Source organism: Homo sapiens, chromosome 10 (assembly GCF_000001405.40).
Source record: "Homo sapiens chromosome 10, GRCh38.p14 Primary Assembly".
Classification (NCBI taxonomy): Eukaryota; Metazoa; Chordata; class Mammalia; order Primates; family Hominidae; genus Homo; species Homo sapiens.
In genome coordinates, this window is record NC_000010.11 from 86,173,076 (window position 1) to 86,197,373 (window position 24,298).

Here is a 24,298-nt window from a genome sequence, read left to right on the forward strand (position 1 = left end):
CACCCAGGCTGGAGTGCAGTGGCCCAATCACGTCTCACTACAGCCTTGATCTCCTGGACTCAAGCAATCCTCCCACTTCAGCCTACCAAGTAGCTGGGACTACAGGTGTGTGCCACCATGCTTGGCTAATTTTTATTGTTTTTTGTAGACACAGGGTCTTGCTATGTTGCCCAGGCTGGTCTCAAATTCCTGGCCTCAAGTGATCCTCCTGCCTCGGCCTTCCAAAGTACTGGGATGACAGGCATAAGCCACTGCACCTGGCCTGACAAGAATTTTTTCTAAATGCAATGCCATAAGCATACCTACAAAAAGTAAACAAACCCTTACTATCTTCCAATATCCAGCCAGTATTCACATCTTCCCATGGTCACACACATTTTTTTTTATAATTTTTTCAAATCAGAATCCTGACAAAGTCTATACATATAGCCAATTGTTTGATACATCTCTTAAATCACTTTTAGTCTAAACTTTCCTCCTCAGTCTTCTTTTCTTTTTTTTTATTTTATTTTATTATACTTTAAGTTTTAGGGTACATGTGCACAATGTGCAGGTTAGTTACATATGTATACATGTGCCATGCTGGTGTGCTGCACCCATTAACTCGTCATTTAGCATTAAGTGTATCTCCTAAAGCTATCCCTTCCCCCTCCCCCCACCCCACCACAGTCCCCAGAATGTGATGTTCCCCTTCCTGTGTCCATGTGTTCTCATTGTTCAATTCCCACCTATGAGTGAGAATATGCGGTGTTTGGTTTTTTGTTCTTGTGATAGTTTACTGAGAATGATGATTTCCAATTTCATCCATGTCCCTACAAAGGACATGAACTCATCATTTTTTTTTGGCTGCATAGTATTCCATGGTGTATATGTGCCACATTTTCTTAATCTAGTCAATCATTGTTGGACTTCTGGGTTGGTTCCAAGTCTTTGCTATTGTGAATAGTGCCACAATAGACATACGTGTGCATGTGTCTTTATAGCAGCATGACTTATAGTCCTTTGGGTATATACCCAGTAATGGGATGGCTGGGTCAAATGGTATTTCTAGTTCTAGATCCCTGAGGAATCGCCACATTGACTTTCAAAAAAGAGCCTGCATCGCCAAGTCAATCCTAAGCCAAAAGAACAAAGCTGGAGGCATCACGCTACCTGACTTCAAACTATACTACAAGGCTACAGTCACGAAAACAGCATGGTACTGGTACCAAAACAGAGATATAGATCAATGGAACAGAACAGAGCCCTCAGAAATAACGCCACATATCTGCAGCTATCTGATCTTTGACAAACCTGAGAAAAACAAGCAATGGGGAAAGGATTCCCTATTTAATAAATGGTGCTGGGAAAACTGGCTAGCCATATGTAGAAAGCTGAAACTGGATCCCTTCCTTACACCTTATACAAAAATTAATTCAAGATGGATTAAAGACTTAAACATTAGACCTAAAACCATAAAAACCCTAGAAGAAAACCTAGGCATTACCATTCAGGACATAGGCATGGGCAAGGACTTCATGTCTAAACACCAAAAGCAATGGCAACAAAAGCCAAAATTGACAAATAGGATCTAATTAAACTAAAGAGCTTCTGCACAGCAAAACAAACTACCATCAGAGTGAACAGGCAACCTACAGAATGGGAGAAAATTTTCGCAACCTACTCATCTGACAAAGGGCTAATATCCAGAATCTACAATGAACTCAAACAAACTTACAAGAAAAAAACAAACAACCCCATCAAAAAGTGGGTGAAGGACATCAACAGACACTTCTCAAAAGAAGACATTTATGCAGCCAAAAAACACATGAAAAAATGCTCACCATCAGTGGCCATCAGAGAAATGCAAATCAAAACCACAATGAGATACCATCTCACACCAGTTAGAATGGCAATCATTAAAAAGTCAGGAAACAACAGGTGCTGGAGAGGATGTGGAGAAATAGGAACACTTTTACACTGTTGGTGGGACTGTAAACTAGCTCAGTCTTCTTTTCTCCCCACAAGGCAGCACACCAGTATTCCACAGGATCTTTGGAAATCATTGAAAGTTCTATAAAGATGTGTGTGAATATGCGTGGCAGGGGAAGTATATGTGTTTAGATATAGATACAGCAATAGCTATAGGGATGGGTACAGGGAGTAGCCGCAGATAGACTGTCTCAACTTGTGGATCTGGTTATTCTCTGTGTATTTCTCTCTCCCCTTTCTCACTCACTTACTCCCAAAAGGCCATTTCCTCTACCTCTTTGCCCTCAATAAAGCAAAAAAAAAAAAAAAGACTCCAAGAAAGTGGTGGCCTAAGTTACCCTCTGTCTTTATAAAAACATCTCCCTCTTGATACCATGATCCCTCCTTCAATGGCCACCATGCCTCCATACCCTTTGACAAAGAGAATTCCATATGACCTAGCCAGCTGGCTCCACTTCCTCTCTTCCTGCCATCTCTCGAACCCACCCCATCTGCCCACTGCCCCACTGCAACGGCTCTTGTCAAGGACATCACGGACCTTTCCGCTGTTAACCCGGTGGTTGACACTCACACCAATGCACCTCCAGTGCCCAGAGCTGTGCCTGGCACAGGGGAGTGTTTGGTAAATGTTTGTGGAATGAATTCACTTAGGGGGAATGAGTCACTATTTTTTTTTTTTTGAGACAGAGTTTCACTCTTGTTGCCCAGGCTGGAGTGCAATGGCGCAATCTCTGCACACTGCAATCTCCGCCTCCCGGGTTCAAGCGATTCTCCTGCCTCAACCTCCTGAGTAGCTGAGATTACAGGCATGCGCCACCATGCCTGGCTAATTTTGTATTTTTGGTAGAGACGGGGTTTCTCCATGTTGGTCAGGCTGGTCTCGAACTGCCGGCTTCAGGTGATCTGCCTGCCTCGGCCTCCCAAAGTGCTGGGATTACAGGCGTGAGCCACCACACCCGGCCTAATTTTTGTGTTTTTAGTAGAGACGGGGTTTCACCATGTTGGCCAGGCTGGTCTCGAACCCCTGAAATTGTGATCCGCCTGCCTCAGCCTCCCAAAGGGCTGGCATTACAGGCGTCAGCTGCTGCGCCCAGCCAGAATCAGCTGTTGGGCTGAGTTCTGGGCTAGATGCTGGGGATACAGAGGTGAACAAAGCGTATTTCCTGTCTTTGAACACCACGTTCTGGGGCTGAAGGAGGAGGAGAGTAGGATATGGAAGCAAATGAATAATAGCACAGTGTTGGAGCATGATAGTTGTCATCAAAAAAAGAACAGAAATAGCACAAGGAGAGTGTATCTAATGTTACCTAAAAGAATGGGGAACTTGGCCTTATTATATTCATCATGGCACGAGGTGAAAGAAAGGCATTTCCAGGCAGGAAGATCAGCATGTGCAAAGGCACTGAGGCCTGAAAAAATGGAGGCATAAGCAAGGAGCAGCCTGTGCATGCGCTGAGAGCTAAAGCAGTTCAGCACTGCCGGAGACCAAAGGCAAATGAGTGAGAAGACGAGGAGATGATCGTGCAAAAGAAGGGAGGGGCCAGGTGGGAAAGGGTCCTGGATATGAAGCTGCAAAGCTTGAACTTGACCCTGAGGCAATGAAGAGCTACTGAAGGTTTTCAAGCTTGGATCTGACTAATCAGACTCATATTCCCAAGTCTCCTCTGGTGACCAATGGGGTGAATTAGAGAAAGAAGACATTGGTGACAGAAAGCCTTGATAGGTCGCTATTGTGCCAGTCTAGGTAAGAAATGATGAGGGACTGTAATGGTGCAGATGGAGGAGTAGATGCAAGGATGCTTGAAAAGGTCAGTGTTCAATCACTGAAAGCTGTGAAAAGGTGTCAGCTTTCTCAGTGGCCGTGGCAAAAGTAAGAAACATCATCCAGTGGCAGTGATGTCACCAGCCAAGACAAAAGTAGACCAGATCTGGAGGAGAAATGGTGAGTTCAGATTCAGCATCTGTGAGACAGCCCCAGGCATGCACGGTACAGTTTCCACCGTATCACTGTCTGGTGCCCTTCGCCCCCACCCCCTACAGCAGCAAACCCCAACAGCACCCAGGATCCCGACCTCCCCCGAGAGAGATGAACACACCCTCCAGGAACAAGCACTTCCAAACAGCAAGAAAATCCTAGGGAGGAAAAAGCCAGGTCTGCTCCTGAGAACTTACTTGCCTTTAACACTCAGCGAAAAGGGTTATTTAGACCAATTACAGTGCATTGTCTTTTCCCTACTCCCTCCAATTACGGCTGCTTCTGAGCCACCCCGTGGGAAAACCCTGCTCAACATTCAACTTACTTCTCTGGAGGCTTCAGGCAGGAGAGAGAGAGAGAGAGACAGAGAGAGATCCCAGTGTGTGCATATGTGCATGAGAGACAGAGACTGTGTATGGGGGGGTGGGTGCATGCATTACAGAGAGAGAGACAGAAGCTTTAGCGTGTGCATGCATGTGTGCATGAGAGAGACAGAGATTTTGGTGTGTGTGTGCATGCATGAGAAAAACAGACAGATTCCAGTATGTGTGTATGTGCATGAGACAGAGACAGTGTGTGTGTGCACATGCATGACACAGAGAAAGAGACTTTAGCATGTGTATGCATGTGTGTGTGAGAGACAGAGATCCATTTGGTGTGTATGAGAGAAAGAGACAGAGGCAGAGAGAGATTCCAGTGTGTGTATATGTGCATGAGCGAGACAGTGTGTGCGTGCGTGTGTGTGCCTGTGTGTGCATGCATTACAGAGAAACAGAAATAGAGACTTTAGCGTATGCACGCGTGTGTGCACGAGACAGACAGAGACTTCAGTGTATGTGTGTGTGTGTGCATGAAAGAGACAGAAACAAAGGCTCCAGTATGTGTGTAAAAGAGACGGAGAGACAGTGAGACAAAGAGATCCCAGTCCACCACCGTGAAGAACATACTATGCTCCCCTCCGTGGGGACAAAGCCGAGACACAGCCTTGAGGGGCACCAGGGGTGAGGTGTGAGTTTTCAAGTGAGGAGGACTCTGGCTTCCTGTAAACCTCTGTGCTGAGATTTCACTTCAGAAATCAGCTCCACTCCACAAAAACCAAATCTCCAAAGTCAGTTCCCCAAGTGACAAAATCTTCGAGTGAGCAGTTCTCCTAGTGGCCAACTCACCAGAAACCAGGTCACAAAATCACTTGTCTCCCAAATGACCTCTGGCTGATTTTCCAGATGACCAAATTATTGAGCATTTTTTTTCTTACGTTTTATATCCATCGTGCCCTTCTTTTGGACACAGCCCCAAACCTTCCCCTGCCTGCCTATTTGCACACAAAAGCGGGAGCAGTGGAGGGAGGACAGGGGGAGAAGAAGCAAGGCTGGGTGACAGCAAGTCACTCAGTTAACAGGCTCTCCAGAGGCAACCTGGCCTGATTTTTGGCAAACGGTGCTGGGTTATTAGTGAGGACATTCAGGCCCAGGTTCAAGCTCATAGGCCATTTCATGAGGGTGTTAGGCCCAGGAAGGGCCTCTGCCACAGGGGACAGGCACAAGAGAGCCCATGCGCCACCTCCAGATGACCAGCAGGCGGCTCGTGCATCCACCCCGGGGCGTTCTACACACAGAGAACTACGGTCTCCTTAAACTAAGCGACTCCTCATTTCCATGCATCAGACCCTGGGAGCCACCTCCAGGCCTCCTGGCCCTTTCTGCCTTTGAGAGGCTCTGATTTCACTCCCCTCCCTGAACCCATGGTTTCTCCCCGGCCTCCCTGCTTGATTCGGAGTGAGACCATTTAGCCCAGAGACCCTCAAAGCCAGTGCCATGTCCAGGGAAGCCTTAGAGTGTTTCCTGATGGGGAGAATTTTCTCTGTCGCTTTGAGCCAAGAGCCTTGACCTTGGGCAGGCATTGCAGAGGCTGGAGGGTCTGGTTTACCCTCAGGCCTTGCCCCAGCTGCACACTCCTGGGGCTAATAGGAGAGCTGGGACTGGAGCCATCCCAGGTCCCAGCCTAGCCTGAGCCAAGGATGGGATGGAATGCCTGGGGCTTAGGTCATCAGACCAAAGGTGTTTCCAGGCTCCAGACCCAATCCCCACCCAGAAGGGAGAAATCCCCCCAAGACAGTACACAGGCTAAGTTCCCGGGCCTCCACTGGGGCCCACAGCACACACATTCCCAAAGCAAGCCCAGCTACCTTCCTCTTCCTGCCACCAGCTCACAAAGCCAGACTGGCCAGGCTTGTCTCACAGCAGCCCCCACCCATGCCCCAGCCCCGGACTGCAGCCCTCCTCCCTCTTCCCCTCCCTCCATCTTTCTCCTTGCTCTCCTGGGATCAGCCAGACATTTACTCATTCAAATTTCTCTGAGGCTCTCCCCGATGGCGTGCCAGGCAGCTTCACTGAGGTGACCTCCTCTGGTCCTCCACGACCCCAGCAGGGAGTCACTTCCATCCCAGCTTTCAAGGACGGAAACTATGGCTCAGACAGTTCTACTTACTTGTCCAAGGTCACACAATTTGCAAGTGGAAAGCCACAGAGAACTGCATTTCATTTTCTCTGACAGTTTGTGGGGCCTCAAGTCCCCTTCTGCTCCCTGGGTCCCCAGTCACTGCTCCAACTGGCCACGGGACAGTGTCCTACCCTCTATGGGAACATCTGTACGAACCTCAGGGCCACAGCCAATCAATCACAATGACTCTCCTAGCCCAAACCAGTGCATCATGTCTAAATACACATAAACGTCGGCTAGGATTTCAGCTACTTCAATCCAGGGAGGTCTAACAATGAAACACCACCACAACATGATCCTCCCCAGGGCATCCTCCAGAGGGTCATGAGGAAGCCCATCTTCCCCCGTAAAGTGGAGAGAAGAGGAGGCCCACATTTATTACACACACACCTCAGTCTGAATCCCATGCTGCACATGGGCGGGAGGGAGCCAAAGAATGAGTCCAGAAAGACGCAGAAGGGTCTGAATCCCTTGCAGAGGCCTGAGGCACCACAAAGAAACCAGAGCTCCATCAACCTATGGCAGAAGCCAAGTCAAGAGTCTGGGAGCCAGTGGGCAGGGCGGAGCAGGAGCAGGCTGGACAAAGGGAGGCCAGCCCAGTGGTGGAGTGGTGGAGAGGTGCAGGAGAGGTGGCCGCCAGCTAGCTTGTGAGCAGAAGGCTCCGGCTGGTGCACCAGAAGGACACTAGAGAACACCAGGGGTGGGCACCATGCCTGGGGCCCGCAGTGATTGGCTCAGCAACTCCTCTCCTCCATGCCACAGGCAGGAGCCCCTCATTTTACCGACAAATGGCATAGAGGCCCAGAGTGATCGAACAGCTGCCCAGGGCCATGCTTGGGCAGGTGTGACAGTCCTATATGATACTCTGTAAGAAAAGTGACTCTAGGACCTCAGAGGTTGTCCTCAGAGTGCCCCATACTGACCACGTCCTAACCATAATTAAAACTGGTGGTCTGCTGAGCAGAGGACAGGTCCTGAGGTCAGGGGCAATGATGCTTTGAAGGACCAAGGTTGCCAGCTCCATGTGCTCCCTGTCCCAAGCTGGGCTGGGCAGAGGCCTGAGCACCCAGGAGCTTTAAAGAACAAAACCCAAGTGCACCCACTTCCTAGGCTTCCCGACATATGCCAAAAGCTGCTCCACAAAAGGCTCCCTCTCCATGTGAGCTGCAGGCAGGAACAAGGCGCTGCCTGCAGCTCACAGGAGCAGGGCTGGACAGAGGGAGGGCCTGCTCCACCACCTGCGGCCAGGCCCGGGAACTGGGCTGTGAACATCCTCAGAGACTGTGACACAAATGGCAATAAGATCCCTGTAGCCCCCTCCTGAAATAGGACTTGGGGAGACCAGTGCCAGACCAGAGAGGCCAAAGGCTCTGTAAGGGAACTGGCAAGCTCTGGGCTCAGGGAAGGCTAACCTGGAGGGGCAGAGATGGTGCTGAGGACCAGGGCAGGCAAGTGAGGGTCCTCGCTTGGATGCTGGCCATGAGGACAGCCAAGCCCAGGCTGAACCTCCCCCGAACACACAGTGCTTGGGCAGGATACAGCCACGAGGCTGTACAAGCCACACACACCCCCAACCATGCAGGTGTGCAGAGCAACCCCCAGTACAGGTGCCAGGAGCAGGGCACGTTCCCTGGTATTTGCTTACAAACCTTCACTCTTATCCCCACAGGTGAACTTGGTTAGCTGCACCCACCCAAGGCCTCCCACTGCAACCATCACTTTACAAATCCAGGAGATCAGGCTGGCGGTGCAGGGCTGCATGGTCTCCCATCCAGCTGCCCCTGAAGCTGTGGCCCCCAGGACCTGGCTCTCCCCTGGGAAATGGAGTGCTTGTTCTCAGAGGTGCAGAGCAATGCTGATTGAATGCAGGTAGGTTGCCTCTTCCAGTGGACACTAACATGAACCCAGAGAGGGAAGCAACAGCTCCCAGCCCCGCTAGTACATGGGAACAGACTTCTCTGGGAGTGATTTAGAGAAACAAGGAGGAGACAGTCACAGTGGGTCCAGGAAAGGATTAGGAAAGAATGCCTGTGCCCATGGACACCTGAGGGGTGAACTAGAGTCATCTGTCCACCCTTCCTTGAAGTATAGACACTTTAGGCATATGGTGAAAAGTATGGACTTTCCCTAGAGAAAAAAACAGAAACACAGACACACACATACTTTTCCATAACTATTTCAAGGAGCTTATGGGGTCTATGAGCCCAGGGGAAGAACCTCTGATTAAGAGAGTCATGTTGTATCCAGGACATTACATAATAACAAGTTTTCTTAATTACTCAGTGGTACTTATCTTGTTGGCTTTCTTAGTTATTTATTCTCTGTCTCCTATGCCAGGCTATAGCTCCATGAGGGCAGGAACGTTGACCCCCTCATTCTCCATGAATCCCCAGAACCTAGCATGCAAAAGGTACACAATAAATACTCATTGGACGAATACATGAATTTACAACTTAGTGTTGCAGTACTTAGAATTTGCTGGCATGGAGCAAACAACAAAAAGTGAAGTGGGCTTCTTTAAGAGCTTAATGACTTCAGACTCCGCACTCGACCCCTGCATCAATTCCACATCAGTCTCCGTGGGTGCAGACAGCCTTAGAGCTGTGTGCTCGCCCTTCCATTGAGACTATGGGGTGAGACCATGGCTGCATGCAGAATTCCAGGGTCTGCGGGTGCTTCCCCGTAGCCTAACCCTGAGGGGCTGCCCAGTGGCCCTGGTGAGCAGCCAGAGAGCTGGCATGGATACCTCTCTCCCGGCCCCAAGCAGGGGGCGACTCCGGGCCACGGAGACTCCAGGCATCAGTGGGGGAGCCTCCACACTGCATGCCATTGATCGCCACTAATGAATTTCTTTGTGGAAAGGAACAAACTGCTCCACAGTGAGACTGGCCAAGGCCGCCCCAGCACGGCAGCCTGGTGTCTCGGGCATGCTAATTACCGTGCTGTCTGAGTTCATCTGATCGGCTTCTGCCTACCACTGTTCCATAACCGACACACTAATCTGTCCCCACCTGATGGCTTCTGAGCAGGCCAGAGATGTACTAATAAACCTTAATGCAGACTGGTGATAAAGGAAGAAAATTATAACATGGAGATAAAAACTGTGATGTCAGCTTCTAGATTGCAATGCACTTAGCTTCCTTTGTCATACATTTCAAGGACTATTCGTTGAAACTGCTCATTGCATTTCGGGTCCCTGCTATAATATAATCCTGACTGCTCCACCCTTTCTCTCTCGTGTGTGACAGGAATTCCAGCAAGTCAGCACCGCTTGCTTATGTGGTAGATGTTACACAGATGGATTCTCAAACTAACAAGTCTTTGCAGACCATAAGGGATATGCGATTATTTGAATGAATTCAGGAGTGATGGTTTCTTTGGCATGGACAAAGAACCCCTGTGACGGGCAGCATGGTATCAGGAAAAGGCAACGGAATTTGTTCAACAGCTTTATTGAGGTAATAATGTGCAACATACAATAAACTGCATGTATTAAAATGTAAATTTTTAATGCATTTTTGACACATGCATCACACAATCAGGATACTGAACATACTCCCCAAATTTTCTTGTGCTTCTTTGCGGTCTTTCTTTCCCTATCCCCCACCCCAGTCCCCAGGCAACCACTGATCTGCAATCTGTCACTGTAGATTAGTTTCTATGTTCTAGTTTTGTATAAATGTAATCACATAGTATATACTCTTTTTGTCTTTTTTCACCCAGCCTAATTATTTTGAAATTCATCCATGTTGTTGCTTGTACCAATAATTGATTCCATTTTATTGCTGAGTAGTATTTTATCATATAAATATACCACAATTATTTATTTATTTATTTATTTATTTATTTATTTATTGAGATAGAGTTTCACTCTTGTTGCCCAGGCCGAAGTGCAATGGCATGATCTCAGCTCACTGCATCCACTGCCTCCCAGATTCAAGCGATTCATCTGCCTCAGCCTCCCAAGTAGCTAGGATTACAGGCATGCGCCACCATACCCCGCTGATTTTGTCTTTTTAGTAGAGACAGGGTTTCATCATGTTGGTCAGGCTGGTCTCAAACTCCTGACCTCAAGTGATCCACCTGCCTCAGCCTCCCAAAGTGCTGGGATTACAGGCGTGAGCCACCACGCCCAGCCCAAAATGTTTTAATTCATTCACTTGCCAATGGACATTTTGGTTGTTTTCAGTTTGGGGCTATTATGAATTAAGCTGCTACTGAAATCTTCATGTGGACTTGTGCCTTCATTTCTTTCAGGTAAATACCTGGGAGTAGAATGACTGATATGATAGGTGTATGTTTAGCTTTTTAAGAAACCGCCAAACAGTTTGTCAAACTGGTAGTGCATTTTACATTATTCCCAGCAGCAGTAAATGAGAATTCCAGTTGCCTCATAAACTTCCTGATGCTTGGTATAGTCAATCATCTTTAATTTTAGCCATTCTAATCACTGCTATGAAATAGCATGTTCTGTGGCTTTAACTTGCATTTTCCTAATCAATAATTAGCATTTCTCCATGTGCTTGTCATCCACGTATCCTCTTTGGTAAAGTGTCTATTCAAATATTTTGCCCAATTCTCACTGTGCTGTTTATTATTACTGAGTTTTAAGAGTTTTTATACTCTATACATGATTTCTTTATCAGCTATGTGATTCATAAATATTTCTCCTCAGTTTTGGCTTTTTATCCTCTTCACAGAATCTTTCAAAGAGTGCAAGTTCTTAATTTTAATAAAATCTGGCTGATCAATTTTTTTATTTTATGGATTGTGCTTTTACTGTTACATCTAAGAAATCTTTGCCTAACCTAGGGTCACAATGATTTTCCACTGTGTTTTCTCCTAGTAGTTTTATATTTTTAAGGTTTATTCTTGTGTCTGTAAAGTATTTTGACTTATTTTTACATACAGGCAAGGTGATTGTAGTATATTTCTTTTTTCTTTTTTTTTTTTTTTTTGCATACAGAAAGTTAATTGTTCCAGCACCATTTGTTTAAAAGACTATTTATTCTTTCTTCACTGAATTGCCTTTGCAACCCTGTTGAAATCATTTGTCCATATAAGTGGGGGTCCATTTTTGGATTGTCTCTCCTCTTCCAGTGATCTATCTCTCTATGTTCACACAAAAACACACTGTATTGATTATTGTAGCTTTTTAATGTTTTGAAGCTATAACTTTGAAAAACTAAAACTTTTAGTTTACTGATCATATGATGATCTATGTACAAAACTCAATGGAATCTACAAAAAAGCTACTAGCATTACCAAGTGAGTTTAGAAACACTGCAGTATAGAAACATCAATATACAAAAATCCATTGTATCTATAAACTAGCAATGGACAATTGAAATCTTGTAGTCATGTAGTGAAATCGAAATTGAAGTCATGTTGTGTTAGTCCTCCAAGTTTATTCTTCCTTTTCAAAGTTGTTTTGACCATTCTAGGTACTTTACATTTCCATACAAATTTTACAATTAGCAATTTCTACCAAAAAGAAGAAGCATGCTGAGATTTCTATTGGGATTACATTGAATCTATAGATTAATTTGGGGAGAACTAATATTTTTAACAGTAATGAGTCTTCCAATCCATGAACACAGTATGTCTCTCCATTTATCTTGATCTTCTTCAATTTTTCTCAGCAGTGTTTTGTAGTTTTCAGTGTACAGATCTTGCTGATTTTTGTCAGATTTATCCCTAAATAATTCCCATTTTGTATGCTATTGTAAATAGTATTCTTCTTTATTTTGATTTCAATTGTTCATTGCTAGTATGTAGATACAATGGATTTTTGTATATTTTTTAGACTGCAATGTTGCTAAACTCACTTGTTAATTCTAGTATTTTTCTGTAGATCCCACTAAATTTTGCACATGGATGATCATATAATCAGTAAATTTAAAGTTTTCATTTTTTTCTTTCCAATCTGGGCATCTTTGTTTCTTTTTCTTGCCTAATTTTCTGGCTAAAACCTCAGCTACAGCACTGAATAGATACAGTGAGAGTAAATATCCTGTCTTGCTCCTGATCTTAAGGGACAAGCATATAGTCTTTCACTATTAAGTATGATGTTCCTCATGGATTGTTTATAAATTCCCTTTATGAAGTTAAGAAAGTTACCTTATATCCCCAGTTTGCTGAGAGTTTTAACATAACTGAATGTTGGATTTCATCAAATGCTACAACATAATCATACGTGTTTTCTTTTTAAGTCTATAATAATGGTGAATTACGTCACTTGATTTTTGAATGTTAAATCAGCCTTGTATTACTGGACTAGGCCCTGCTTGCTCACAATGAAGTATTCTGTTTATATATTGTTACTAATCTTTTGTTGAAGTTCTTATGAAGGACATCAGTTTAATTTGCTTGTCACGTTTTGGTCAGTTTTAGTACCAGGATAACACTGATCTAATAGTATAAGTTTGGAAGTATTCTCTTCAGTTTTCTGGATAAATTGGCATAAATTGGTAATATTTCTCTCTTAAATATTTGGCAGAATTAACAGTGAAGCTATCTGCGTCTGGAGTTTTCTTTCTCTGAGGTTTTTAAACTAGAAATTCAATTTCTTTAATCAGTATATGACCATTCAGGCTTTCTGTTTCTTCTGGAGTATGCTTTAGTAATTTGTGTCTTTCAAGGAATTTGTCTATTTCAGCTTAGTTGTCAAATGTGTTGGCATAAGGTTTTTCAAAACATTCCCTTATGATTGTTTAATGCCTCTCACATCTATAGTGATGTCACCTTTCTCATTTCTGAAGTTGGTAATTTGTGTCTTCTCTCTTGTGTTTTCCCAGTCAGTCTGTTCAGAGGTTTATCAATTTTATCTTCATGAAAAACCACTTTTTGTTTCATTTATTTTCTCTACTGTTTTTCTGATTTCCACTTCATCATTTTCCACTCTAATCTTCATTTATTCTTTCTTTTACTTATATTGGATTTGATTTGCTCTTTTTTCCTAGCTTCCTAGGTGGAAGCTCAAGTAATTTGAGGACTTTCTGCTTCTCTAAGGGACAATGGGGCTTCAAGCTTCATAGCCACCAGTGTTTGTCTTTCTTGATGGGTGACCTTAATCAAGTTCAATAGCCTGCCTGAACCTCAGTTTTCCCATCTGGAAAATGGGGCCAAAAGTACCTAACTTACAGAGGTGTTACGAAAACTCCATGGGGCCAGTTTTTTTTAAACACTAAACTCAATGCTGGCATGCAGTGATTATTCAAATGCTTCTTCTTTCCTGTCCCCATGACAAGCAACCACTTCATCACTTCCTTGGGTGACAACCCCAGAGCACATAAGAAGCACACCATAGCCACAAAACACAGAGATCAATGCAGCCACAAGAGAGTCCAGCAGATCTGATCTATTCATTTAGAGAGAAGCAAACTGAGGTAGAGAGACTAACTCCCAGGCAGAAGCAACTGTTCCTCTGGACTAGCTTTAGAGGTTTAAGCTGGGGAAACCAGGTTTTCTATGACACTCAGTGCCTTGGTGGACATCCCAGAGAAGAGCCAAGGAAAGGCAGCCCCAAATCCCTTTTAGCTTTTACCTTATCATTTGACCATCCCCAGAGGACAGAGATCCAGGTGGGTTGTGGTAGGAAAAGTATGGTCATTGGGGGCGGGGCGGGGCTCAGACCTCTTTTGCCACTTGCTGTCTCTGCGACCTCAGAAAAATTACTTCACCTCCCTGAGTCTCCATTTCCTCATTGGTAAAATTGGGTTGATAATAATATCAAGCATCTGATAAGCACTTTCTATGAGACAGGCACTGAGTGTTATTCTGGTGCCAGCTCTCTATACCTTACAAGAAGGCTATGATGTAGACGCCTACAGGCAACCTGAGACATGGAGACATTGAGTACCTCACCCAAGTTCATGCTACCTAGAAAGGCTGGAGGCAGGATTTGAACTCAGACAGTCTGCACCAGAGTCTGAGTGCTAAATCATCATCCAGTGCTGCTAATTACACTATCCTCCCAGGGTTTTATGAGAATTAACGAATATCCCTAAGGGACCCAGCACTGAACGAGACCAGGAAATGTGAGATTCCCAGGAGCAGCCAGAGGCTGGGGAGCCCCAGGAAGAACAGGTAATGTTCTTGGCATCTGTGCAAGCTGAGAAGCACTGGGGCTACTCTTGGGGCTGCGCTAGTTCCAGGGGAGGTATTTATAGTGCAAGAGGCATCACGCCTGCTCAGGCTGAGCTGAGCCCAGAGCTGATTTGCACATGGAATTGGCCATTATCGGCTCATTTCCATAAGGCAGCTACATGGGAGGAATAATTCAAGGAGAAGTTCCCACCACCCATCTCCTAAGGAGCTTTAACTTCACAGTTGCTACATAAGACACACAACTAGAGATGTCAGAGTCACAGGGACCACCCCCAGCCCTGTCCTAATTGATGGAAGGGAAATAAGTCTTGAAGGAAGAGACCCACCAAAAGCCCATTGGTGGGTGATGGAAGGGCTGGGTGAAGACTCCAGGAGGACTCCAGGCCTTTGCCCTGCCCTGCCCTGTCCATCCTCTGCAGCCCCTTATAGCGCAGATCCTCAGTTAGTACTGATGAGTGACACACATGGTGAAGTGAATAGAGGCGTGAGCGTGTATGGCTCCTACATGGACTGCAGCAAGTTGGGCACTAGTTCTTCATTGCACAGATGGAAAGATAAGTTAATTCAAAGGTGCCTAGAAAATAAGCAGAAAAGCTGCATAGATCTAAACCCCACTTTTCCCCTAGCACAAGGCTGAGTCCCTGCATGGCTAGAATGCCCGTTCAGCTATGCTGATGCCATCCCCATGCCAACAAGGGCTCAGGCTCTGCTCCCTTCAGGGACCAGCTCATTCCCCAACAAACCAGGCCAGAGGGAAAATGGGAGCTGCAGCCCACCAGGAGAGCAGCCCTTGCTAGGCCTGTCCTGTCCATACCTTCCATTCTGCCAAGCTACCCCATCCCCCTGCCAGCCCGCTGTCTAAGCCTAGAAACAGGTTCCTTTGCCAAGACCCACTCCCTGAGGAATAGAGAAGCCTCTGTGCCCAAGGCATACAGGAAGAATGCCAGAGGGCTGGGAGGGGTGGGGACAAGCATTTACAGCACCTCCCTCTCTCTCGGGGCCCGAGCAGGTTGGCAGGGCTGCCCTGGGGCTACAGGACACATATCTATTCTTCTCATCATCCATCACCCACCACTGCCAACATCCCCTATTAAAGAATAACCAAAACAGAACCCCAAATGTGCTAGGCACATCAGTAATCCCATTTAATCCACTATCTAAGCTATGGGGATGGTGCCAGTGTTATCTCTGCTTGATAGATGAAGATGCAAAGAAGGTCAGAGTGGTCCAACTAGACAAGTGGCAGAGCATAAGTTGAGCCCAGTTCTGGAATTCTAACCACAAGGAGCCACAGCGGGAACCAAGTGTCTGACACAGGGAGATCTGTGGCTGAAGCCCCACTCCGCCAGGCCCAGGGCTCTCCTGATCCACACCAGTGAAGAAGCAGGCAGATTTGTGAAACACCCATTTTCCACCATCCAAAGCCACTTCCCTCTGGTTTCCTGCATCTCAACACCCACAGGCACCTGCTGGCACTTTCAAAGCTCTACTCCCCTTCTCTAAAAGTGGGGGTCATGTCTGCAGCTCAGATATTATGTGACCCTGGAATCCAGGACTCAAACCAGACTCACTGTCATTCCTTTCAACTCTCTCGTGTTCTTTGGTATGATGGAACCCCTGGCCTCCTAGGCTAGTGATGGGACCTTTGGGGAACTTCTGATGTCAACCTTCCCACTCCACCTGGCCTAACTAGTCGGCTTCCAACTCCCGTCACTTCCTGCTACAAAGTGGCCCCATGTGTCTTCTATGCTGTGGTCTCACTGCTACCACCCCCAGTAAGCCCTCATCACCATCCCAGAAGTCCTGACACAGCCTCCTCATTACTCCCCTGCCTGTGGTCTCCTTTTCCCCAGCATCCCTACCCTCTACACACACACACACACGCACACACACACACATCACATGCACACATTTCCACTCTATTCCACAAACTGCACTAAAAACACAACTTTATAGATCCCTGACCATGAACCTGCAATAGCTCCCTATTACCTATGCCCTGTTACCTACTATTGACACTTGAGGCCAGAAAGTTCTTTACTGTCAGGGGCTGTCTTAAGCGGGTGCTGTGCGATGTTTATCAGCATCCCTGGCCTCTACCCACTGAGGCCACTAGTACTCCTCCCTATCCCCTGTTATGACAGAGAAACACAAATGTCCCCAGACGCTGCCAAATGTCCCCGGGGCCAGAGGTGGGAGGAGGCTCTTGTGCCCACTAAGAACCCCTGCCCTGCAAGGACAAAGGTCAACTCCTAACATGGCTTTCCAGGCCCTTCTCTTTTGCCTGAAAACTCACCTAACCCTCCTTGCTAACACCCCACTCTCTGACCCTCGTGCTTCTCTGTGCTCAGGCTGTTACCTCCTGGGACCTCTGTCTCCCTCTGCCCAAGCCCTCCCTGCCTTCCAAAACCCAGTGCAAGTCCACCGCATGCCTTCCGTGACTCGGCCCCAGGCTCCTGCCTTCCCTTCAAAACACACCGTTACCTTGAATATCCTCTGTGTCACCATCTAGTCGCCCACCCCCAAGCAGGTCACAAACACTATGTGAGTGGGACACATGGTGTGATCCTAACCGGCCCTCCAGAATAAGAAGCTCTGACATGTGGCACTTACTGGCCTCCATGAAGTAAATATTCCCACCGGGACTGATTTCTAGTCACTGAAGTGCTGTGACCAAACACAGAGTTGGGAAGAGGTGGCCCAGTGGCTCACACGAGCCCCTGTGCACAGGCTCCAGTGCACCCCACATACCTCCTCCCTTTGCTGCCCCTGGGCCCCACAACAGGTGTGGGGGCCCATGAAGCCTGGCTGTGCTGGTGTCAGGGAGGGGCTGGGCAGTGCCCCATGGCTACAGCCTGGCTCTGTAGCCAGGTCCTCTGACTGCAGTGGCAGTAGCCAAGACCTGGTTAGGTCCCAGATGAACCAAAGGCACCCCTGACATGCCCATCCCCATCCTGCAGGTGTGCAGGGCCCCTGGAGCTCACCTGGCTCTCCCTTCCCTGCACAAGCCAGGCTAGAAGGAAGGCCTCAGGAAGAACTTCACCTTGAGCTGCCGAGGCCCTCCAGTGAAACCTCATGCCAACTTAGAAGAAAAGAGTTAATGTATTGATCTTTCTTGGTGACTGTTAGTAAGATTCATAGCTAGCCTCAGACCACATTCATCTGCACCTCTAACTTTAATGACTACAGGCACTTCAGATGTGTGGGTGTTCACATGCATGTGTCTATGTGCACATGTGTGCATAGTCGTGCATGCATGCATGAGTGTGTACGTGCATGCATGCATGAGTGTGTACCTGCATGCACATGTGCATCTGTGTGTGCTCAAATGCATGTGCCTGTGTGAACACACATGCACATATTGTGTGTGTGAGAAAGAGAGCTCCAGATCTCTGGGCTTTTTATTTCTGTCACCTCTAACCTAGTTGCTGAATCGCACAATAAGCATCTGCTCAGGCCTGTTACATGCATTTGATGCCACAGACTCAAAGTCAGGTAAAGCAGGCTTTTCACCCTGGAGGAGCTTACTGTCCAGAGGGAGGGAGAAAAGGAAGTCAGTAATTATGGCCCAGTAACCTGGGGTGAGATGCACAGAGGGCATCTGTGGAACCCAGAGAAGGGACAGCCCACCTGGCAGGGGAACAAGGAGAAGAGAGGAAACTTCCAAAACAAGGAGACGCTCAAATAAGTCTTGAGGATGGAGGAATAGCTTTCAGGCAGTGAGGTGGCTGGTCCAGGTCGGGGAGCCATGTGGGATGGTGGGGTGTGACTGGGACACATTCAGGAAGGTGAGTCCCTGGGTGTGGTGGGGAGTGCAGATTGCAGTCACATCCATCCCCCACCCTCCCCTGTTCTTCCCTCTAGAGTGCCCACCCCTCCCCTTCCCAGACTCCCTATCCTGCTGATTACCACTGACCACTGAGAAGCATGGTCAGGAGACTCAGGCACAGGAGGAGGAGGAAGCCAGGTATTTCACCCTCTCTCTGCTTCCAGTGTCTCTGGCCATGGTTGGGTCTCCCACATGCTCCCAGTTCCCTCAGGGTGGCCCCTCTATGAGGTCCCAGTACCCACTGGACAGTCATGGCTCCAGGACCATCTCTCCCATTCATCCCTCGAGCCCTGGGAGTCACTCCAGCCCTGCCCAGTTGTTAGTCTGGGCTGCTTCCACTCCACCTGTCCTCAACTCTGCCAGCACTTGTCAGTAGTTCCTCATGTTAAATCCCCTCCTCTGAATGACCTGGAGTGGGCCATGTGTTCCTGATGGCACCCCTGCTGATCCATCCTGCGTCGCTGGGACACAGAGGTCTTGAGGGAGTGATGAGAGAAAGGCCAGGGAGAGACAGACCTTGGAGGCCCTGTGCACTGCGAGAAGGGATCTGAACTTGATCCTTAAGGAGAGGGGGAGACATTCAGGGGTCTAAGCAGGGCAGTGAGTTAAGGAAGGTGACTTTGGTGGCAGAATGAAGGATGAATGGATGTCTTCCAAACAGTGTGGCACAAAAATGCCCACCACACACAAACACATACAATCCCATTGCAGCAACACACACCCACAGACACCTGCGCACACACACACACATGGAGGCTCCAAGAGACGACATTCCTCTCCCAACACCCTCAGAAAGCCAAGTGGACCAAAGGTAGAAGCAACCCTTAAGTGTCCATCGATGGATGAATAGGTCAATAAAATTCTGTCTATCCACACAATGGAATATTACTCAGCCTGAAAAAGGAAGGACGTTCTGATGCATGCCACAGTGTGGAGGAAAGTAGAAAGCACTATGCTAAGTGAAATAAGCCAGTCTCAAGGAACAAATACGGTACGAGTCCACTTATATGAGGCCCCTAGAATAGTCAAAGTCAAGAGACAGGAAGGAGAACAGTGGGTGCTGAGGGCTGAAGGGAGGGGGGAGATGGGGGTCTTTGTTGAATGAGTACAGAGTTTCGGTTTGGGAAGATGAGAACCTTCTGGAGATGAACGGTAGTGACTGCAATATGACTGTACTTAACACCATTGAACTGTGCGTGAAAATGGTTAACATGGTAAATTTTGTGTTGTATATATATTTTTCCACAATAAAACAAAAAACTACAAAAGTAAAGTAGGAACTTCCCAGAGCACAGGTAGAATCCAGCACACAGGACCAGGGCCAACAGGTGATGTTCACACCGATATATGTGGTGATTCCACAGAACCACAGGGGTCTCCAGCAACAAAATCCTTAAAGGCCCCACAGTGAGGATGCAGCCTCCCAGAGCCTGAGTCCCAGGCCTAAGGCTCCACTGTGTGTGGGTCCCTCTGCAAACAGAATGTGTGAGAGGCCAGAGCGTGTGTCTCAGGAGAGCCCGGGAGGATGGGAAGCAAGGAAGACAGAAGAGAAGGTGAGGCAATGAAAAAATGCCTCCCAGTTCCCTTAGCCCCATCCAGCCTCAGCATCTCCTAACTTGGGGCCTCAGGAGCTCACCCTACCTGCACCCTCCACTCTCTCCTCATTCCCAGGGCATGGTATCCAGAACGCACTCACCTGTAGCTCAGGGTGGTTGGGGTGCAGTCAGGAGAGTGAGGGCTTGAGATCTGAATCGCCACCTGCAGCTGGGGTCCCCCCAGCCTGCTCCTTATGTGACCTGGTGGCAGATGCCTACCTTGTTGAGTTACTATAAAGACCAATACAGGAACTGTGGTTGTGTGCCTGGCACAGAGTAACTACACAGTGAATGTTTGATTCCCTTCCTTTAGGAGAAGCAACGCAAGGCACGTTATTCTCTTTATGATCCATTAGCAAAGCTCAACCACGTGGCCTTTGGTGGGCCTCTAGGCCTGAGGAAACCATGCCAGGGTCTCTAGGGAGAACCTCTATCTCATGATGGCCAATCATCCAGGGGCTTGTGGGCACACCAGAGCTAAGAACCTTCCTGCCATAGTACCCAGGGTGGGTCCCTGGGGGACAGAGGCAGCCCCTTCCAGCTCAGGTCAACTCTGACAGTTGGAAAGTTCCTTGACATACTGCACCCTATTCTCTGCACCATTTCCTCATTAGTCCCATTCCTGGGACCCCTCAGCTCACATCAGCCCATCCCCCAGCTCCAGGCCTGTCAGAGACCTCAGAATCCCTCCTTTCTGAATTCCTGCCAGCTTGTCTCCATTCCACCAGAGAGGCATGTCCCTCAGTGCAGGATACACCAAAGGGACCACCCAGCCCTCACCACCTCCCTCCCTCCCTTCCACTGCTCACTCCCACTACCGCTCACTCCCACCAAGCTGCAGATAATTCAATCCTCAAATCGCTTCTCACAAGAGCTGCTGCCGACCTAAGTGGGCCCTTGCTGCATTTTATCTGGTTCTCTGATTTTGGATTTTGTCCCTGACTTTCTGCCCAATCACACTTCTCAGCAAGATGGCACCCAAGAATGGAAACAACAGGGGCCAGAACAAGGTCTGTTCTCCTCCAGAACACTTCTCCTTTCTCTGCCTTATTTTGGTAACTGGCATCTCATCACTGTATTCTAGCTTCCTAATTTGAAAACAGAATCTCCTGCAGCCCAGCCGCTCTGCTTTCTAGCAATCCAACCCCTAGAAGTACTTAGAGATACATGCATGAGGATGTATCCACGGCTGCGCACTACAGCCCTGTGTGACGGCCAAGAACTAGAAGCCACCTGAATCAAGACATGGAGGAATAAAGCCCACTCTGCAGAATGTTGTGCAACAGGCAAAAAGAATGGGGTAGAACCAAGTGGGCAATATGGAGCAAAAGCTGCAAAGCCCATCAAGTAAAAGCATGTCACCAAACAATGCCCGGGGCATGGTTCCCCTTCTGCGTCTGCAAAGCACTGTATCTGTGTGCACATGTGGCATGTCCAGGCAAGGCCTTTACTCACCTCAAGAGAGGAAGGCAGATAGGTGGGAGAGGGAGAACACGTGCCTAATGGGTGCTTGCTTTGTGTTTTAAATGTGTATGTTGTTTTAATTTTTTCAACAAGAGTATATTCATTTTGTGTATGACTTATGTATATGATACAAATAATTTCAAAGCAAAAATCCCAAAGCAGGGTGGTCTCCCCTTCCACATCTTCCCACTCCCCTTAGAACACAAGGCAGCCCCTCTGCCCTGCTGGAACCCCTCACATTGGGCTGGTCTCTGCTCAGCCCTCCTCACCCCAACAGGACTGCACTCGGCCACCAATGCTTATGAAGGCCTCCCCCAGCTCTGCTACGGCTCTATGGTGAGCACTGCACAGCCCCCCTCACACCCCTTGTCCCACTTACAGCAGTTCCTGTCAGGGCAGGGACCATGCCTGCCTTGCTCTCCTCCTGAGCCCCACCCAGCACCTGGGACTGCAAAGGCCTTTGGTGGACATTTGTCCAACAGAACTAAACTGAATGGACACATGAAGCCTCACTCCGTGGGCAGCAAGGAGTGCCAGAACGCACAACCCTTGCTATGACCCGCTTCAAGTCTGGCCCAGAGGAAGCTTAGGCAGAGGCAAGTCCTATCCCTACCCTTCCAGGAATGGTAAGTTCCAGCTTGGGATCAGCTGAGCCATGAGAGGGCCACACTGCACAGTCAGCGACTGTGCTTGACTGAGAAACAGCCAAGCAAAACCCACTTCTACATTTGCTGTAAAGGTTGAGCTGGAATTGCCATCCATTCTGTCCTTCATGGTCTCCTGTAGAGATCAGGTCCCTCAGGGAGGATTCTTTGCAGTGCTGAGGGGGGCCTGGTCCCTCTGCTTCCTCCCACCCTGTAACCTGTGGCTGCCAGAATAGCATGACCACAGCCGTCCTTGGCACCTCTTGATTTTCTAATGCAGTTGCTTTCTTAACCTCAGTGTCTCTCTAAGAAGACATTAGAAGCCTCTGCAAATTCTCTCTGGATGTGTGAAGGAAATAAACAAATAAGCAAACAGGCAGACAATGCAACCTGAAACAATCAAACCAAAAATCAGAGGCAGCGTGCCAGGTTCATGTGCAGCCTCCTACCCTGGCTGGGGGTTGGCAGCAAACAAGCCCCCGCGGCGACCACGCCATCAGGTGGGTAAGAGGATAACTTCCAGCAAGGAACTGGGTACGTGAAGGGCTGAGAGGAGACATAATGTTACCCACATGGCTGTGTCTGGGCGTGACCCCCACCTTTTGGTTCTAAGTGGCCTTGTCACCACTCCCAGAGCCTTCCACAGAAAATACGGGGCAGGCAGCTGCCACCTGGATCAAAACCACCAGGCTTCCTGCAGTCCAGAACTAGTCACACAAGATACAGGCAATTTCATCCTTTTAACATTCCAGAGCAATGCAACCAGAGAGAACGGGCTTCCGTTCTTGAGCATCCTTACTACACAGGAGAAAGTTCACACAGAGGACAAGCCTCGACGTCACAGCACATGCCTCACATCAGAAGAGGAAAACCCTATGACAGACACGACAACCTGGCCTCTGAGACCGCTAGCACAGCTTCCCTTCCATGGACCCCTTCATCCTTTCCCATAAGCTGCTGACCCTCCATCCCTCCTCCCTCTCAAATATGCCATGCCATTCACACCCTGGCATTTTAGTCACAGGTTTCCTCCATCTGCAGAAGCCCTCTTGCTCCCAGCTGTAATTCAAAACCCACTGCTTCCCGGGACAGAGTTGGGGCTCTAGGCTTCAGGGCTCCTAGCACAGTTTGTTCAGCGCTTGGCTCAATCACAGGCCTTGTACCCAGCATTGTCCTGGGTACTGCGGAGGAGTAAGAAAAACGAGAAATGGTCTGGGACCTCAGGGAGTGCAATCACTCTCAAATCCATCACTTCATTTCATTTCATTTCAGCCTCACAGGAACCCTCCACGGTAGGCGTTTTTATTATCCCCACTACTAAAGTGGGAAAACAAAGGATCAGAAAGAGTTGCCAGTGTGCCCAGAAGCACGTTAGAAAAAGATAAAGCCAGGAAGAGAACTAAGTCTTCCAACACAAGCCAGGCTCACCCACCAGACCTCAGCAGCACCATTGCCATCTCACTGTGATTCATATGTGTTTTGTAGTCATTCTTGACTTGAAGCTATGGGAAGAACTTTCTCAGGGGCTGGCCACATCTAAACTACATTCCAGTCCTGACCCCTGGCATACACAGGCAGTCTACACACTTGACAAGGAGGAAGGTATAGACAGAAACACAGCAGGCTGAACAAGCCAGTGCTCTACTGAAAGTGGAGGAGGGAGGGGCTTTGCCTTTGCACATACTTGGACTCCATAGGAAGCATATATTACTGCTGTAATTGGTAAACTCAAGGAAAGAAACAAATGCTTCTGGGCCAATAAATGGGCAATGAAACACCCCCAAAATATCAATTCACTCATTCACTCATCAAATATTTAATGAGCACCTACTAAGCTTTAGGTGCTGTTCTAAATGCTGTGGGTCCAGTATCACTCAACCAAGCAAACAAAACTGCCTGTCTGCATGGAACTAGTTGGGGAAAGACAGACATCAAAAGATGAGTAAATGGGAATAAATTCAATGGAAAAAGGGAGAAAGAGGTGCCAAGAGAAAATAGAGTTCCATTTTTAAATAAATTGGAAAGGGAAGGCCCCACGGGACAGATGGAATTGAAGCAAAGCCCCGAAGGTGCAGCTTGCAGACGTCTGCACGTGCAGGAAGAGTGTCCCAGGCAGAGGAAACAGCCAGCCCAAAGCCTCTGCAGCAGGTTGTGCCGGGCACGCTCATGGAGCAGCAAGGAGCCGGAGCTGGAAGGCAGCAGACAGGGAGCA

General features: G+C 47.9%; 1 protein-coding gene across 1 annotated transcript in view, besides 2 other annotated features; it reads right to left on the reverse strand.

Annotated features, from left to right (window-relative positions):
* Positions 1–24,298, reverse strand: part of GRID1 (glutamate ionotropic receptor delta type subunit 1) — a 767,244-nt gene that overhangs the window by 573,524 nt on the left and 169,422 nt on the right. The window lies entirely within an intron of this gene.
* Positions 5,461–5,962: an enhancer, noted in NCBI's record as "H3K4me1 hESC enhancer chr10:87938293-87938794 (GRCh37/hg19 assembly coordinates)". NCBI's record gives its function as "activates a minimal SCP1, AML or CMV promoter by ChIP-STARR-seq in naive and primed H9 embryonic stem cells {active_cell/tissue: H9 hESC(naive and primed)}" and the evidence as "EXISTENCE:reporter gene assay evidence [ECO:0000049][PMID:30033119]".
* Positions 5,963–6,462: an enhancer, noted in NCBI's record as "H3K4me1 hESC enhancer chr10:87938795-87939294 (GRCh37/hg19 assembly coordinates)". NCBI's record gives its function as "activates a minimal SCP1, AML or CMV promoter by ChIP-STARR-seq in naive H9 embryonic stem cells {active_cell/tissue: H9 hESC(naive)}" and the evidence as "EXISTENCE:reporter gene assay evidence [ECO:0000049][PMID:30033119]".